Source organism: Homo sapiens, chromosome 12 (assembly GCF_000001405.40).
Source record: "Homo sapiens chromosome 12, GRCh38.p14 Primary Assembly".
In the NCBI taxonomy this organism is placed as follows: Eukaryota; Metazoa; Chordata; class Mammalia; order Primates; family Hominidae; genus Homo; species Homo sapiens.
This window is the reverse complement of record NC_000012.12, coordinates 25073356-25091705: the sequence shown is the minus strand read 5'-3', so window position 1 is coordinate 25091705 and position 18350 is coordinate 25073356. Positions and strand designations below refer to the sequence as shown.

General features: G+C 37.8%; 1 protein-coding gene across 21 annotated transcripts in view; it reads right to left on the bottom strand.

Moving 5' to 3' along the window:
- Nucleotides 1-18350, bottom strand: part of IRAG2 (inositol 1,4,5-triphosphate receptor associated 2) — a 110761-nt gene that overhangs the window by 16630 nt on the left and 75781 nt on the right. For 16 of the 21 annotated variants that reach the window (NR_159368.2, NR_159367.2, NM_001394803.1 and 13 more), the window contains 8 exons: nucleotides 12416-12462; nucleotides 12244-12308; nucleotides 11943-12050; nucleotides 8213-8283; nucleotides 3549-3606; nucleotides 2029-2092; nucleotides 1916-1943; nucleotides 1509-1649 (listed from right to left, as the gene is read on the bottom strand). Coding sequence is in view for 17 of the 21 variants with exons in the window: in NM_001394803.1 (NP_001381732.1) it covers nucleotides 1509-1649; nucleotides 1916-1943; nucleotides 2029-2092; nucleotides 3549-3606; nucleotides 8213-8283; nucleotides 11943-12050; nucleotides 12244-12308; nucleotides 12416-12462 (582 nt within the window). In the remaining 4 variants the exon portion in view is untranslated. Of the gene's footprint in view, nucleotides 1-1508; nucleotides 1650-1915; nucleotides 1944-2028; nucleotides 2093-3548; nucleotides 3607-8212; nucleotides 8284-11942; nucleotides 12051-12243; nucleotides 12309-12415; nucleotides 12463-15065; nucleotides 15184-15903; nucleotides 15967-18350 lie in introns of those variants that run through there. The other 5 variants (NR_159369.2, NR_159366.2, XM_047428842.1 and 2 more) reach the window with 4 other exon arrangements.

Below are 18350 nucleotides of genomic sequence, written 5' to 3'. Positions count from 1 at the left end.
TATAGCTGCTATGAAAAACAGTACAGTGGTTTCTAAAAAATTAAAAATATAATTACTATATGACCTAGCAAGCCCACTCCTGAGTCTAGATATAATCAAAAGAACTGTAAGCAAGGTCTCCAAGGGTCTCCAAGAGATATTTATACACCTACGTTTCTAACAGCACTATTCACAATAGCCAAGAAGTGGATGCAACCCAAATGCCCATCGATGTATGAATAGATAAGCAAAAATTGATAGCTACAAGAGAATTTTATTGAGCCTTAAAAAGAAGGCAATCCGCTCACATGCTATAATATGGATAAGCCTTGAAGACATTATGCTAAGTGAAATAAGCCAGTTACAAAAGACAAGTACTGTATGAATCCACTTATGCAAAGTCCCTAAAGTTGTCAAATTCATAGAGTCAGTAGGATAATGGTTACCAGGGGATGGGGTAAGGAGGAAAAGGGAAATTAACAGGTACAGAGTTTCAAGATCTGTTTTGCAACAATGTAAATAAACTTACATTGAACTGTGCACTTGAAGATGTTCAAGATGATAAATTTTATGTTACATATTTTATCACGGTAAAAAATAACGTGATTCTTTTCCATGGTTTCTCAATTTTAATGTCCTTCATCCAAAACTAAGCCTACTAATTTTCCAGCTCATCTCTAAATGTATGGTAACTTCACCATATGGAAGGATAATAGTAGTTGTTACACTCCTCTGCACCCCCATTCTTCTCTCAGTACCCTACAGCAGGCTTGCCCATCATCTGCAAGACTGAATCAGTTACCATTCTCTTTCCTCAGTTAATCATAAATGGAAATAGACTCGATTCTCTTCTTTGAAGCTTAAAATTGATATTTCCTATTGCTCAGTTTTCTGTATGATTCCTTTTCTGCCTGAAATTTGAAAATCCAGAGAAAAGGCAGATGACTCATGCAACCTACTTTAAAAAGACATTTTTCATTTTATAGCTGATACTCTCCTATTAGTGAAACTTTTATTTCAGCCTGATCCTGCATTCTTACTTTCTATGATTCACATTTGGGTCAGGCAGAGCTTGGCACCTGGTACTGGTTTGGGTCATACAAGTAATTTCATATGTAATTATGAAAGTGTTATTGAAAATATGACCAAATGTTTTCTGTGGGTGTTTTTTGTTTTGTTTTTGAGACAGGGTCTCACTCTGTCACCCAAGCTGGTATGCAATGGTGTGATTATAGCTCCCTGCAATCTCCAACTCCTGGGCTCAAATGATCCTCCTGCCTCAGCCTCCCAAGTAGCTGGGACTACAGGCACACATCATCACACCTGGCTGATTTTTTTTTTTTTTTTGGTAGAGATGGGGTCCCACTATGTTGCCCAGGATGATCTTGAACTCCGGGCCTCAAGTGATCCTCCTGCCTTGGTCTCCCATGATCCTCCTGCCTTGGCCTCCCAAAGTGCAGGGATTATAGGTGTGAGCCACTGTGCCTGGCTAGACCAAATGTTTATATCCCAAATGTTCTGATTCTCACCTCTAATAGTTTTAAACAGTTAGTGATTTCTTTCTTCAAATTTTCTTCTGCCAAGTCACGGGACCTCTCTTCAAGCTTCACTCTCTTCTCCAAGGTAAACCAGTCACACTTAAATCCCAAAGATAATCTGAGAAATTCTGCCTGTTGTCAAAATAATGTGAGGGTGAGGAAGAGGAGAGAAAACCGGATGTGGTCAGATGTTTCAGTTTAATACTGTTTTATACTGAGGCATTTCTTTCTCCCCCCAGCAACATAATGCTGACATGCACAGGGTTCACCTGCACTGAGTCACAGCCAAGCCAAACAGACACCGAGCATATGAGAGCTTGTGCCAAAACATGAAGTGACTGTAGCAGGTGAGTCTGGAACACTTTTTTAAAAGGAAAAAAAATTTGCTTTAAACTCACCTCCACCTCCTTCTCATTAGCAGAAGTGCTGTAGGATAAGACAAAAAACATATTTAAACATAATCCAACAGAAAAATAAAACATGTTAACATGCTACATGAAGAAGCACTTACTTCTCACTTTGTCTAAGGTTAACCGATTTCACAGTGGTTACAGGAAGAGGGGAAACCACAGAGTCTATTAAAATATAATAAAATATTATTTGGTTAAAAAGGCTTGACCTGTAAAAGCACATTTGATCTAATGTTATATCTCCACTAAACAAAAGTATTTCATTTAAATATGTCTGAGATGATCGCCAGCTAATAATGTATGCACTTAAATTATAATGTTATGCTAAGCTATTGGGATCACAATGCCATTACAATCATTTGTTTATACCTCAGCATGTGAATAGTCTTTCATACTTAAAGATGTCTCAGAATCAAGCAACAGCCCAATTTGTTCTCTTTGCATTTGCATGTTTGCTATACTTGATCCCATGGCTAAAAGCCTAAACCTCCTACTGGTATCCTGGTTCTTCTTTGGATCAAGGCTTTATTAGCAGTAGCAGGAACAGTAGTAGTAATAATAATAGTAGTAATAATAATACTGGTAACAATAACAGTGACAATAAACATGGCATCAACCATGGCTTTATTATATTGCCAATCACAGAGCAAAGCATTTTACACATATGATTTTATGACAACTTTACCAAGGACTATGTATTAGTTATTAAGAGCATTGGATTTAAAGTCAAACAAACTTGGTTTAAGTCTGAGCTTTGTTTGAATCTTACAGTTATGTGAGCTTGAACAAGTCACAAAGTCATTAAGCCATCTAAGATAAGATTGATAAGATAAAGATATCTTATCATCTAAGATAAGATTGATTTTTTTATAATAGTAACTAACTTTTATGAGAACTTTGGTGCCACTTTTCTAAGTGCTTCATACATATTAATTTATTCAATCCTCACAGCAAACCTTCTGTTGTAGATACTTTTATTGTCCACATTTTATAGGCTAGGCAACTGAATCACAATTTACCACCTCACATAGTATTTGGAGGACTAAATAAAACTATGCACATGAAATTAGCCTAGTTCTCAGCATAGAATATATTCTCAATTAAGTGTACTTTTCTTCTTTTCATTTTCCTCTTGCAAATGAGAAAATTGAGACTTAAGGTTAAGTAACTTTCCAAGATCAATAGCTAGTCAGAGATTGATCCCATGTAGAGTCTCTATGACTCCAAAGCCTGAACTCTATCCACTATTCCATCCCAATGGAGGTAGGCTAAGGGGAAAAGCATATTAGCACTTATTCTGTAAATAGGGGCTTTACTTTTAGATGGGATACTAAAAAAGAACTAACAGTAGAGCATAGCATTTGCTACCAACATTCGCTTGGTTCTTAGTTCACAATAGAGCACCAGTTATTACAGGTTTTCTGGGATCGCACAGTCAACACAATGCAAATGTGGCTTTTTGAAAATGACACAAATGGAATCAATAATCGGTCCTATTGACTGACCTTATCCAGAGATGCAGAATTTGTAAGTGACATAGCTTTATTCAGACAGATTTCACCCACAAAAATATCAGCAGAGAACAAAAGTTCACATGGGGATTGAAAGAAACATTCCTTACCTCCTGAAGCATGTTCTTTTTTATGTTCTTCTATTGTTTCTGGTTCCTCTTTGGCTTCCTAAAATCATAAGATTTTACCACTGTACATAGAGTGGAAATACTTCATAACCAGTCATTTTCCTACTTCCTGTCCTCTCCTAAGCCTACTCTGACAAAAACACTCTATAACAGCAGTCCCCAACCTTTTTGGTACCAGGGACCAGTTTCCTGGAAGACAGTTTTTCCACGGGGGTGAGGTGAGGGGGAAACAGTTTCTGAAGGAACCTGTTCCACCTCAGATCATCAGGCGTTATTCTCCTAAGGAACATGCAATCTAGATGGCTCGCTTGCACAGTTCACAATAGGGTTCGTGGGAATCTAATGCCACCACTGATTTGACAGGAGGCAGAGGTCAGGTGGTCATGTTCCCTGGCCTGCCGCTCACCTCCTGCTGTGCGGCGCAATTCCTAACAGCCTCGAATGGGTTCTGATCCCTGGCTCAGCAGCGACTGGGGACCCCTGCTCTACAGTTTTTAATGCTGTTAAGAAGGAAATAAAATTGGCTGCAAGGGCGCTTCCAATCTAGTTGAAGCAAAAAGGGCGTAAATACATGAAAAGATGCAAACATGATGTGAATTACAACAATGCAAACTAGGATTAATTGCCAAATAAATGAGATAGATAAACAAGTGCTCTTAATAGGAAGGAAATGGCAGGGCGCTGTGGCTCACGCCTGTAATCTCAACACTTTGGGAGGCTGAGGTGGGTGGATCACCTGAGGTCAGGAGTTCAAGACCAGCCTGGCCAACATGGCAAAACCCCGTCTCTACTAAAAATACAAAAATTAGCCAGGGGTGGTGGTGCAGGCCTATAATCCAAGCTACTCTGAAGGCTGAGGCAGGAGAATCACTTGAACTGGGGAGGCAGAGGTTGCAGTGAACCGAGATCATGCCACTGCACTCCAAGCTAGGCAGCAGTGCAAGGCTCTGTCTCAACAAAAAAAAAAAAAAAAAAAAAAAAAAAAAGGAAGGAGAGTGGCACCATGACACCATGACTTGAGTAGCATGGAATTTCTGCAGACAAGAAACATGCTGAAGTTTGATGAAGAGGTAGGACTGGATAGATGAAAAGGTAAGGTGTGGGTGATATAGGGCTATCACATGGAGTTTTCTAGATAGGTTTTTGGAGAAATTGTGACAAAGATGGCTGCTAAGACAGTGTTATGTTAGGCTTTTACCGCATATAGATATGTTTTAAGGTCACATAAGGAGTTGTGTGTGGCTGCTGTTTCTAGCTCTTCCTCTCCCATTCGTGATCAATTAACTACTCTACCCCTTTACACAGCACTCCAAGAAAAGTGTTCTCACCAGCTATCAACTCCCTATTGCCAAATCCAGTGGATAATTTTCAGTCTTTATCTTACTTGACCTTACTATAGCATCTAAAATTATCTATACATCCTTTCCTCTTGAAGATTTTTTCCCCTTGATTTCCCTGTTCTGATGCCCCAGCCCCGCGTCACAGCCCGTTCTCAGTCTCCTCTGCCTTCTCTAGTAGATATTGTTAGCCAGGATTCCATTATCCTCAATGCTCCCTTCCTTCCTGCCACAGTCCTTGGGAAATCTCATCCACACACTTGGATTTTTGCTGATAATTCACAAATATATGTCAGCTTTCAAAAACCGCACAGGTGAGTTTATGAATATGGGTATGCAGCCGTATATAAAATCTCCTTACCGACTATCAATGTCTCAGATCAGCCTGAAATTTGACTTGTCTCAAACTGATCTTATTTTACCCCACAAATTCTACTCTCCTTCCTCCTTCCCTACTGTCATGTTATTCTATTCATTCGGTAGGTTAAGCCATAAGCCTGGGTATCTACCGTTTCCCATACCCGTGACATGTCATCATCCTCTGTGAATTCTACCCCTAAATATTTCTCAAATTTATCTCCTTTTCTCCACCTTCACTAAATTCATACTACCTTCATCTCATCTGAATTATTGCCATAGTATCCTAACCAGTCCCACAACTTCCAATGGCAAATTGATCCATTATTTTAAAAAGTGTCTTTATGTCTATATTTTTTTTGAGATGAGAAGGAATTTTATTCTCTCAGAAGATTCTACTATGAAAGAGTAAAGGACTTGAGTTTTCTTCTGTTCATTTTTTACTAGGAGCAACCATTTTCAGCATATGTGCTAGCCAACACTATATCCTACCTATACAGCTGGCCCTCTGTATTTGTGGGTTTGCATCTATGGATTTAACTAAAAAAAATGTAGTTAGGCCTACAATGGTTGTATCTGTACTGAACACACGCAGATTTCCTTTCTTGTCATTATAACTATTTACATAGCATTTATACTGTATTAGGTATCATAAGCAGTCTAGAGATGATTTAAAGTATATAAGAGGATGTGTTAGTGATATGGGAGGTGGGCAGGGAAGTGCTGGATAGAGAAAGGCGGGGTCCCCAGTGAGGGCTCCACCCTCAGGCCTGTGCCTGCAGACCTAAGTGAGAACAGGCACTCCTGTTTTTGTGTCTGAATGTTGTATTTTCCAAGACCACTCTGGCCTACCATGCCCCTCATCCTGTGCCAACATAAACCCGAGACCTTAGTGGGCACACAACACAAGCAGCTGAAGTGAGCACACAACACTGGCAGACCAGCAGACTGGCAGACTGACAATAGTGGAATGACATGGCAGAGAAAGAGAGAAGAGGGGGGATGTCTGGATGCCAAGGGGAGTTTAGCCTGGGGCAGTTGGAGAAGAGTATGGCCTCTGGGCAGCCTGACTCCAGGGGAATACCCCCTTCCCATTCCATACCACCTTCCCACTCCATCCCCCCTTCTGGCTCCGCATCCATCTTACTGAGAGCCACCTCCACCACTCAGTAAAACCTTGCACTCATCCTTCCAGCTCACGTGTGATCTGATTCTTTTGGGACACTGAGCGACAGCTCAGGATACAGAAAGCTGTCACACTGGCCCTCTGCCCTTGTGATAAGGCTGAGGGTCCATTGAGCTAATTAACACACAAGCTGTCTGCAGATGGCAAATCTGAAAGAGCTTTGTAACACACACTCACTTGGACTTTGGGAATCACAGACACTGACCCCTAGATGCTGCCAGGGGGCAGAGCCCAAAAGCGCTTGCCCTGGCCTCTGCAGCTGCTGGTCTGCATGTTCCCCCTAGGGGCTTGAACTATGGGGTGACTAAGCAGGTGAGACACACCACTGCTGCATGTCCTGCAAGGGGAATCAGGGAACTCTCCCGTTTCATTAGGTTATATGCAAATACTATGCAATTTTTATATAAGAGACTTGAGCATTCTCTGATTTTGGTATCTGTGGGGTTCTTGGAATCAATCGCCTCTGGATAACAAAGGAAACGAATGACATCATGTCATTGTTCCAAATCACAAATCCAATCATTTCACTATCTTTAGAATGAAATGCTGAAAAATTTTCATCTACTTTTTTGCCCCAAGTCTGTGCCATGGCCTCCTCTTAACTTGAGTTAGCTTGCATGGGTCTCTGTTTCTTGCAACCAAATGCTTAACTAGAACAATGCTTGTATATTGAGAAGAAAAAAACAATAATACACACACACACACACACACACACACACCCCTCCATGCATACAACATAGCAAGACATAAGCAAGACATAAGCAAGACCCTTGAAGAATCATGAAATTAGACCTGTAGTTACTCTTTAATGATTATTAATTCATAGAAGTGGAAATGAGTCTTCTCTCTCTCTCTCTTTTTTTTCTTTTTGAGACAGGGTCTTGCTCTGTTGCTCAGGTTGGAGTGCAGTGGCATGCTCATTGCTCACTGCAGCCTCAAACTCCTGGGCTCAAGTGATCTGTCTGCCTTGCCCTCCTATATAACTGAGACAACAGTCAAGCACCACCATACCCGGCAGATTTGTTTTTATATTTTGTAGAAACAGGGTCTCCCTATGTTATCCAGGCTGGCCTTAAACTCTTAGGCTCAAGCAATCCTTCCACCTCGATCTCTCAAAGTGCTGGGATTACAGGCATGAGCCACCACTCTGGGCCTAATGAATTTTCTCTTTAAGGAAGGAATTTAACTCTTTTCTCTAATCATTTCCAGCTCTCCTTATGTTTATAGAGCTTTACCATGCAACTGTAAAACTTTCAATGCCATTAACATGGTACTTCCTCCGTGACATGTTTTCTGGCCTGCCATCTCAAGCATTTTTTCTTTCAAAGCACTAAGCACACTCTAATTATTCAGTGATTATCTGTTTCTTCACCTGATTAGAACATATCGTTAGGATAGATACCACCGTTTTATTCAACTTCATTTATTAATGCATTCATTTATTTAAGCAGTCCTCTACTGAGAAATATTTAGCTTGTTTCCAATTGACTTTTGATGAATAAATGAGTGAGCAAATGAATGAATGAACAATAAATTAAGGTGGAGCTAGGAGATCCTAGTTCTGATCCTGTTGTGTGACTTTAGACAAGTCACAAAAACACTTTGGCCTCAACTACTTTGCCTATAAAATATTAATTAAATTATATGAACGTCATAATATTTTGAAAGGATAAATGAGATAATACTTTTAAGACTACTTTTTAGAGGGATAGTTCTACCATTGTAAGATACCACCACCTTTGTTGTGAACATACGTATTTCCTTACCAGATTTAATATGGTTTTATCCTTACTCGTAGAGTCTTGGAATGCAATATTATCATGAGCTGGACTTGTGCCTGTGAGAAACAGGAAACACACAAAGCAGTTAGGGGGGCAGGAGCAAGTAAAAGAGGAGGAAACAGTGAGAGTGGCAATATGGGCTGACCAGTAACTGACAAAGGTCTTAACATATGAGACAAATTATGAACTACAAAAAATGTATACGTGCCCATTGACTCAGAATTAGGATGGAGCAGCTAAGGCCGTAAAAGATTTCTTAAAAGAAGTGAACATCTGTACAAATGGCCTTCTAATAGGATTTTTTAAAAATCATTTTTTAGGCTGCTGCTGCTTTTTTTAATGGAACACATGACTGGTACAATAATAGAAAGTGGAGGGCGGAAGGATGAACAATTGGTAACTTAGTAGCTTTTTTAATAGCTTAACAAATTTTCTTTCAATATTGTATTTGCAAGGCTGATAACAAAAAATATGATATCCTTCTAAAACATGGTAGCTTTCTAAATTAAATGTCATGAAACCAAGAGGAAAAGATGCATTTTTAACTTGTGCCATTCCTTTTGGTAATTTCTGTTTATTTTTATGTACTTTATTTGTACTGAAATGTACCGGATAATTATTCTCCTGTTTACTCAGTCCATTGTCCTACATTTAGTTCAGTGCAGGCACAAAGGTCAGCAGATACAGGCAGGTTTTGTTTCTTCCTTTTTAAGAGAAAAATATTTAAAGCGTGTATTATATTTGTAAAATTTATATGGAAATAAGAACAAAATGGTAAGCAATTTCTTCACAGCTATACAATTTTTTCCTTATGAAAATTTTATTTTAGGTTTTTTGTTTTGTTTTGTTTTGTTTGTTTTTGTTTTTTGTTTTTTTTTTGAGACAGGGTCTCACTCTGCCACCCAGGCTGGAGGGCAGTGGCGCAGTCTCAGCTCACTGCAACCTCCGCCTCCCAGGCTCAAGTGATCCTACCCCCTCAGCCTCCCAAGTGTCTGGGACTGCAGGCATGCACCACCATGCCCAGCTAATTTTTGTATTTTTTTGCAGAGACGGGGTTTCACTATGTTGCCCAGGCTGGTCTTGAACTCTTGAGTTCAAGCAATCCTGCTGCCTCAGCCTCCCAAAGTGCTGGAATTATAGGCATGTGCACCGTGCCTAGCCCTTACTTTAGTTTTTAAAAAATTTTAGGACAAGTAGTAGATTCATATGGTTCATAAATCAAAAAGCGTAAAAATGTTTTACAGTGAAAATTTTTCCTCCCATCCATGACTTCCAGAAATCCAGTTTATCTCCCTAGACACAATGTTATTAAATTTTGTCTAGCTTTCCAGGGATATTTCATGCATACATAAAAACTTTTTCTTTGAGACCAGCCTAGGAAACATAGTGAGACCCCATCTTCACAATTTTTTTTTAATTAGTCAAATGTGGTGGCTTGCACCCGTAGTCCCAACTACTGAGGAACCTGGGACAGGAGGATCATGTGAGCCCAGGAGTTTGAGGCTGCAGTGAGCTATGATTGTAACACTGCACTCCAGCCTGGGCAACAGAGTAAGACCGTCCCCATGTGCACCAAAAACCAACTTTTTCTGTCCTTTTTTTCACAAAATTGTGTACACTATACTTAACATTCTGTACTTTTTTCCCCCAAGAAACAGTAGTCCTTTTATGTTATTGTAAGAAAAAAGTCTCCTTATTTATGTTTTATGCCTGCATATTAGTATTCTATTACATGGATATGCCAAAATCTAATATTTTGTTATTACAGACAATGCTGCAATATATAAGCATTTGCATATGTTATTTGGGATGTGTGTGCATATTATCTATAGGATAAATTCCTAGAAAATGAATAGTTGTATCAGAGGATATATACATTCAACATTTTGATAGATATTAGAACATTTCTCTCCACATTATAGTAGCCCTCCCTTATCCAAGGTTTCACTTTCCATGGTTTCAGTTACCTGCTGTCAACCATGGTCTGAAAATATTACATACAATTGTATATATTTGAGACGGAGTCTTGCTCTGTTGCCCAGGCTGGAGTGCAGTGGTGCAATCTCAGCTCACTGCAAGCTCCGCCTCCCGGGTTCACGCCATTCTCCTGCCTCAGCCTCCCGAGTAGCTGGGACTACAGGTGCCCGCCACCACGCCTGGCTAATTTTTTGTATTTTTAGTAGAGACGGGGTTCCACCGTGTTAGTCAGGATGGTCCCTCGATCTTCTGACCTCGTGATCTGCCTGCCTCAGCCTCCCAAAGTGCTGGGATTACAGGCGTGAGCCACCACGCCCAGCCACAATAATATATTTTGAGAGAGAGAGAGACCACATTCACATAAGTTTTATTACAATATGTTGTCAAAATTGTTCTATTTTATTACTAGTTATTGCTGTAAATATCTAATTAATAAATTAAACTTATCGTAGGTATGTCTATATAGCCAAAAACATAGTGTGTATAGGATTTGGCACTATCAGTTTTGGGAATCCACTGGCGGTCTTGGAATGTAGCCCCAGTGAATAAAAGGGGACTACTATATTTACAAAAAGTTAGATTCCCTACAGCACTTTTCTTTTGTTCTTACAACTTTACCAACAGAGTGTAATCAAATTTGTGCCTCTTTGTCTATATGATAGGTAACAAATGGAACCTTGGTGTATTTTTAATTAAAAGATTTACTTATTAGACATAAGGTGGAGTATAAAGACATTCTGTAATTAACCCATGAAATGGATTCCATTTCTGCAATTTTGTGGCTATTCTATTTTAGCACCTCTATCTCAAACTTAAACGTCGAGTTAAAACGATAGAATGTATTTTCCTTGGCCAGGCGCGGTGGCTCACACCTGTAATCCCAACATTTTGGGAGGCCAAGGAGGGTGGATCACGAGGTCAGGAGATCGAGACCATCCTGGCTAACACGGTGAAACTCCGTCTCTACTAAAAATACAAAAAAATTAGATGGGCGTGGTGGCGGGCACCTGTAGTCCCAGCTACTCGGGAGGCTGAGGCAGGAGAATGGTGTGAACCCGGGAGGCGGAGCTTGTAGTGAGCTGAGATCATGCCACTGCACTGCAGCCTGGGCGACACAACGAGACTCCGTCTCAAAAAAAAAAAAAAGATAAAAGAAAAAGAATGAATTTTCCTTGATTGATTTTTTTTTATGGGAATTAGAGCCTATTCCTCCCATGAATGTCAACTAAAGTGGTGTCTCACTGGGAATGGTCGAGAATAACTACATTGTTTTCAGAGTCAAGTAGCAGAAAAGGACCTAACAAACCAACTGGTTAGTTCTGTTGCCTCTGGGTGGACCATTGCTAATTGCTCCATCGTTCTAACCTGATAAATTCGAACTAGGATTCCAAGAATTTCCTAAGCAGATGATGTCACTTCTGTGCTACAGTTGAAACCCAGTAAATTCCAGTCAATCTTTGCCATAGGAAATATTTGTCCCATTACAATATATCATAATTTTTGTTCTGGCTACAAAATCGAAAAAAATTGATACCATCCTTATGTGTGAAAGGCCATGGTTAGTTACCACTTGGATTTCTTTTCTGCAGACTATATCTTCAAAATTGTTTTATAAGAATTATTTTACAAAAAAAATTAAATAACATTATTGAGCTAGTGTGGATAGTTACTTCACTAGCTTATAGACTTGCTTCGTGTTTTAGAATTAAAATCATGCTTACACCTGTCAACATTTTACCTTGGGCCTCTATCGTGGGAGAAGCTGATCTTGTATCCTCCTCTTTCTTACAGAGCGAGTTTCTGTCAAGGTCACAAGAAGCCATATTCAGAATTTCTAATCCAGGATCTGTCAACAGGAGAAACAAATGGTGCGAATACTATGCACATAATATTATATATAGTGTATTTAACTATACTATGCAAAAGGAGTATTTGCCTATGTTCTTCTCATTTGCTCACACCCCAGCAGGTCACAGAACATCAGGCTGAAAGCTGTAATACTAACAGTCTATTTTAATATTATTTCCAAATCCACTTACCACTTGAAGTTATAGTACCGTCTGTCGATGAAGTGTGTCTGGGTAATGGTAGTGAGGAATATTCCCTGCCAAAAAGATAGCAAACATGTTTTGGAATGTCAGGTCCAAATAATTCTCTTAAAACCAACTAAATATGCATACAAATTCACACACACAACACAAACAAGCAAACCTGGACTGCAGCAGGCTCTCAGGACACACGCGTTCAACACCATTCTCCTTAAGGAAAAAGAAAGGAGACATAAGTTCAACAATTTGACATTTTCCATTCCAAAGAGGTTGTTTTAAGCAAACATTTTCATACAATTCTAAATGAACCCATATTTACTCAGCTCTTTTGGAAAGGATATGGGAATGGGATGGTATAGGGCAGATGGATATACACACTTCCTCAAAGCTGCACTTACCCAAAAATCCAATATTAAGTATATTTACAAGTCTGATATTTAAAAAAATCTGATAAAAATTTTGGGCAAAACAAATTCTAAACTCAAATGGCAGATAGGGTTTATTTCATACGCTTAAGTCAAGTTTTCTTTAAACAGAAAATTCTACAAGGGCATGAAACAACATTTCTATGTGTGGGAATAGCACTCAACCTAAAATTTCTGACCTGGTAATTTTAAAATTGCTCTTAGTTTTCTAGCTAGAAAAATCATGCATTTCAAACTTAATCCATATCTGAGAGATCTGAAGGATTACATCTAAGTTAGCACCTATTACTTGATTCTCAAAAAGAGCTTAACAAAATTATAGTCCCAGCCTGCCAGGGCAAGTGTTTGAAAGTTTCTATGAACCTCTTAATTTCTACAAGGAATTCCTATTTTGGGGGTAACTTTAGGGCATTAAAGTTGTACAACTTTCTTTTTCAAAAAATACAGTGAGAACATAGTTTCATTTCTAATAACAAGCTTTTCTAGTATATTATTTTAATTATTTGATTTAGTTTAGAAAAATAAATTAAAATTCAATAAAACTGAAATCATTCAGACATATGGAAAACCTACACAAAGTAAAAAGAAGGCATTTAGTTATTCCATAATCAGAACTTACTAACTGTCACAACCAACAATAGGTTCCCATGGGGGAATATTGTATATCAAACACAGTATTTAGAATCAGTCCCAGAAAGTATCTCCCATAGTCACAGACAAGTAAAGTACAGGTTTACTAAGGGTTTGCTGAATTTGTATTTATCCAGTACAATGATAGTAGCTTATATATGTTTAGTACATTAAAATTTACAAGAGCCCTTTAATATATCATCTCATTTAATTCTCCCAACAACCTTAGCAGATTTTAGCAAGAAAAGATTTACTTATTACAGGTAATGAAATGAAGGCCAGTTAATAAGGTAATTTCCCAAGACCAGTCAGAATGGTGGAGTCAGCTTTCAAACACATATCGAACTAAATACAGTGTCTTCTCCACTGTAAACAAAACCAACTTGGGCATACCCTAACCTAGGCTATTGGAGAGGAAAAGACTTCCCAATTATTGTCTTAGACTGGTTGATGATTTTTAATGTAGACTTGTAAGATGTTCACCTCAAATGTTTAGAAAAATCTACAATCGAACTTGCAAAGCGAGGATTTATACCTACTTCTGCATCAATGATGTTGGTCAACTTTTTCTCTTTTTTACTTCATTTTGTTTCTGCCTTAAGTGACTTTGGGTCAGTTCATACATGACTGAAACCCCTCATGACACCAGTTTAATTTAATTCAACAAACTTTCATCCAAAGCCCACTTTGTGCTAGGAACAGGGACAAGGGCTAAAGATTATATATAAACACACAGTTCTTATCCTGAAGAAGCCCGTAGGCCAAGCATGGAGAGAAATATATAATACAAATCCTACTCTACAATTTATAAGCAGCATGCCACAGAGGAAAGTAATATGCACAGGGCAGAATTAACAGCGTGGGGATATCTGAATTCAATTTTAAAGAGAAACTGTACCTTAAATTGTAGTTACGTGATAATGGCCCTATTTTAAAATATTTAAATAAATTATATTAGTAATTTTTATGTTTATTTAACTATACTATTATGTGTATATATATTTCATATATATATCATATATATATTTCATATATATCATATATATCATATATATATTTCATATATATATCATATATATATCATATATATCATATATATTTCATATATATATCATATATATTTCATATATATTTCATATATATATCATATATATATTTCATATATATATCATATATATTTCATATATATCATATATATATTTCATATATATATCATATATATATGAAATGAACAAGGCACGGTGGCACACGCCTGCAATCTCAACACTTTGGAAGGCTGCAGTGGAAGGACTGTTTGTGGCCAGGAGTTTGAGACCAACATGAGCAACATGACAATACCCCATCTCTACTAAAAAATGAGCAGGGCACAGTGGTGTACACCTGCGATTGCAGCTACTTGGGAGGGTGAGATGGGAGGATTGCTTGAGCCCAGGTGGTTAAGGTTGCAGTGAGCTGTGATCATACCACTGCACCCCAGCCTGGGTGACAGGGCAAGACCCTGCTTTAAAAAAAATGAAAAGAAAGAAAGAAAACAAAAGAAAGGAAGCTATAAAAAAAGGAGAAAATTAAATATCCTTCAGTTTTATTGAGTGTAACCCTTCATAAAAATCAATAAGAATTGATTTCTTAATAATAATAAAGTATAATATCCTAACACATATAAACACATTGTTACTATCTGTAGCATGAAATAACATTTATTATTGCACTATAACTAAAAAACACTACACACTTGTCAGAAAAGCCTTCATTTTGTACCTGTCAAGATCATGGGTATTCATATTTAAGAAATATGAAAGAGAATGCAGTTCTTATTTTCTATTCCATTATGCCAGTTTCCAGTTTGGGGAAAAGAGAGTACATCATTTCTGCAAACCTTTTCAAAAAAAGGTCTAATTAGTATTTAAAGCCAAAGTAATAAATACAGTAAAAATACAGTTTGCCTCCATTATGTTACATATCAGTCTCATTTGCCCTAATGCTCTGTGTAAGGCCTTCTTTTGCCCTATACGTTAGATATGAAACATTGTAGTTAGAAGTCTTTCAATAAATACAAAATATTTATTGATTAAACAAATAATTATGTGATTTTGGAGAAATTGCCTATGTTTAGTAGCCATTTAATACTACCTTGTTGTGGAACAGTAGCAAGGTAAGCAACTGGATGTTATTCTCAAAGCACTCATCTTTGTAAAAGTCAGTAATCAGAAAACAACCCAATATACAACATATCCCAATCCTAAGTTTTCACAAGTTTGGTCTAATGACAATTTTTTTTTCTTCTTGTGAGACTAACTAGAGTAAAGAAGATTTTTTTTTTGATCTGGTTTCAAATTTAGGACAACAGTTCATGAAAGCTGGAGATGAAACCCTCAAGGGGTTGGGGCAAAAACTTTCCACATTTGGGCTCTTTTCTTCTAGCTTCTAAAGCCACCTCTATTTAAACCAGCAAACCAGGCCCACAGCAGAACATAACCAGCACGCACCAACTGTGACACCTGGACAGATCATGAGAAAGATAATCTACTAGATATAATTTAAAATCAAGGAAAATAAAGAATAAGAAAAAGAAAGTTCAGATGAGAGATTCACTTACATGTAGAAGATTGGCTCAAGTCAATGAATCTAACACATGCCGATAGCACAGAGCAGGGAGAATGCTCTTTCTGTCCAAGCCATTCAAATATTAACCTGCATAACATTTACATGAAAAATCCATGGTCCAGCCCATTTGCTTTTGACAGCAAGAGTCTAATGTAGGGTGGGGTAGCAAAAGTACTCATGGAAAAAATGAAACAGATTCTCCCATGGGCTGGGTCAGCAAACACAGGAGACACACATACACACACACACACACACACACACACACACACACACGCATACACACACACAGCAATATTATTTCAATATTTAGATTGAACAACATGAACAATAAAAAATAACTTTTAAGATTAATTGGCCTAATATCCCAGGATTATTTTATTTTTGCTCTTTTATATGAAATACTAAACTACAGATTTTGTGATCAGAAACCTTCTACTAATAAATATTTATGGTTCCAATGTAATGTTTACTATTTGACCCATTTTAGATAACTGATACTTAAATAAACGTGATTTTCTGAGAACAAAAAAATAACTTAACAAAGAGTCTATTAGACTTACTTCTGACTTGACTCAGCGTCTGTTTAAATGTTCCAAAAAGAGGAACAATGCTAAGTTGAATTTTAAAAGATTAGAACTACTGGAACCTAAACAAAGCTAAATTTGCTTATAGGTTTGCATTTATTTTTTCTCTTTCTAACTAAAGGTATACCACACCCTCAGATCTACAGGTTACACCCACCACTTTCAGGTTCATTTATAATATAGTTATCAGTCAACTTCTACATGTTCCAATTTTGCAACTGGCAATGTTATTTATTCTCCAAGGTTATTAATGCTGCACCCACATACAACTTGGAAGAACAGGACAGACAATAGCCAGAAAATCTTCTGAGATATTTTTAAATTGATCCTGTTCTTGGCCTTAATAAATCACCGCCTCCCAGTGATAGTACATCTTAGACAAAAGCATGTAATAACATGAAGGATAACGCAAAGAGAGACAAGACACTTAATATTTGGTATATGTAATTTTTTTAACAGCCAAAAGAAAAACAGAGAAATTCATCTCCAAATCATTGGCTTGTTTCAAGATATACTCTGGCCTTCATGCTGCTGATAATTCTGATTCTGGGAAATATGACCAGCTAATTTTCTTTTTGAGGTTTTACTATGATTCAGGTATTTTGCGTATGTTACAGAGTATCTTGGTGGGGTCAGAGTTGAGACTGAAGTAAGATAGAAGGAAGAATCAACTTTGTTGTCATAGGACAGTGTGGACAACAAACCAAAAGAACTGCAGAGACATGAGTCGTGAAACCAACTTCTTGGCCCCACAATTTCTCGAGAGGTTAAAAGTCTGCATGGAAGCCACTAGTCGGTGAGGCCTGAAGAACATGGGGATATATTTGGTATTCACCTCTGGAACTCACTGGAAATGTTGGGAAATGACTCCATGAAAGGAAAGGCCTTCTTAGTCATCAGCAAGTGGGGAAACAAGGCATTGAGAGGCAGTGTCTTGCCTCTACATATGACCTAGTTGGTTTGTTTCCATGGACAGGTTAGGCCAGAACTCAGTGATACAGATATGTGGAAATATATGTATATATGTAAAGTATTTGTGTGTGTTTATTTGAATCCTCAAAAGAACTATGAAAATCAATGTCTATTTCACAGGGGACACAGCAAATTCAGACAGGTTAGGTCATGTGTCCAAGTTCACACAGCTAATAAGTAATAAAGCCAGTCTTCAATCTAGATGTGCTTCATTCTACAGCCTATGCTATGTGGCTAAAGATTCTAGAGCATTACTAGGAAAAATTTCAGATAAATACAAAAGTAGACAAAACAAAGAATCTAATGAATCCTGGTATATCCGTCATGCAGATTCAACAATTACCAACCTATGGCCAATCTTGTTTCAAACTCTCACCCTCTAAACCTTGTTTTGAAGCAAATGGCAGACATCATAACATTTTTATCCGTAAATATTTCAGAATGAATCTCCAAAAGATAAGGACTGGAAATAATTTGTTTCCTTCTTTCCTAACTACACCAGAATATCCCAAATAAACTAATTTATTGGGTGAATAAAGAAGTTCTTTCTTCCTCAAGAATGTCCCAAACAGGGCTCCAAATTATTTTACTTTGAGATGTTCTTTTTGAGACATTAACCTTGTTAGCGTTCTTTGCTCTCCCAAAGACCTGCTTATGAATAATGATGTTCACTTTTATATTGCACTGTGCCTTCTGGGAAAGATATTAGAAGACAGCTTCCTCTGTGAATATGGGGAAGGAACAGAAAGTAAATCTCAAGTTCTTAGGAGCACCAGCCCAAGAAATGAGTCAGAAAGCAGTAAGCTAATTGAGTGCTCACTCTCAGTGTTTTAAACAGACGTTGTAGTGAGTACAACCTAAATAAATAGGCATTCAACAAATA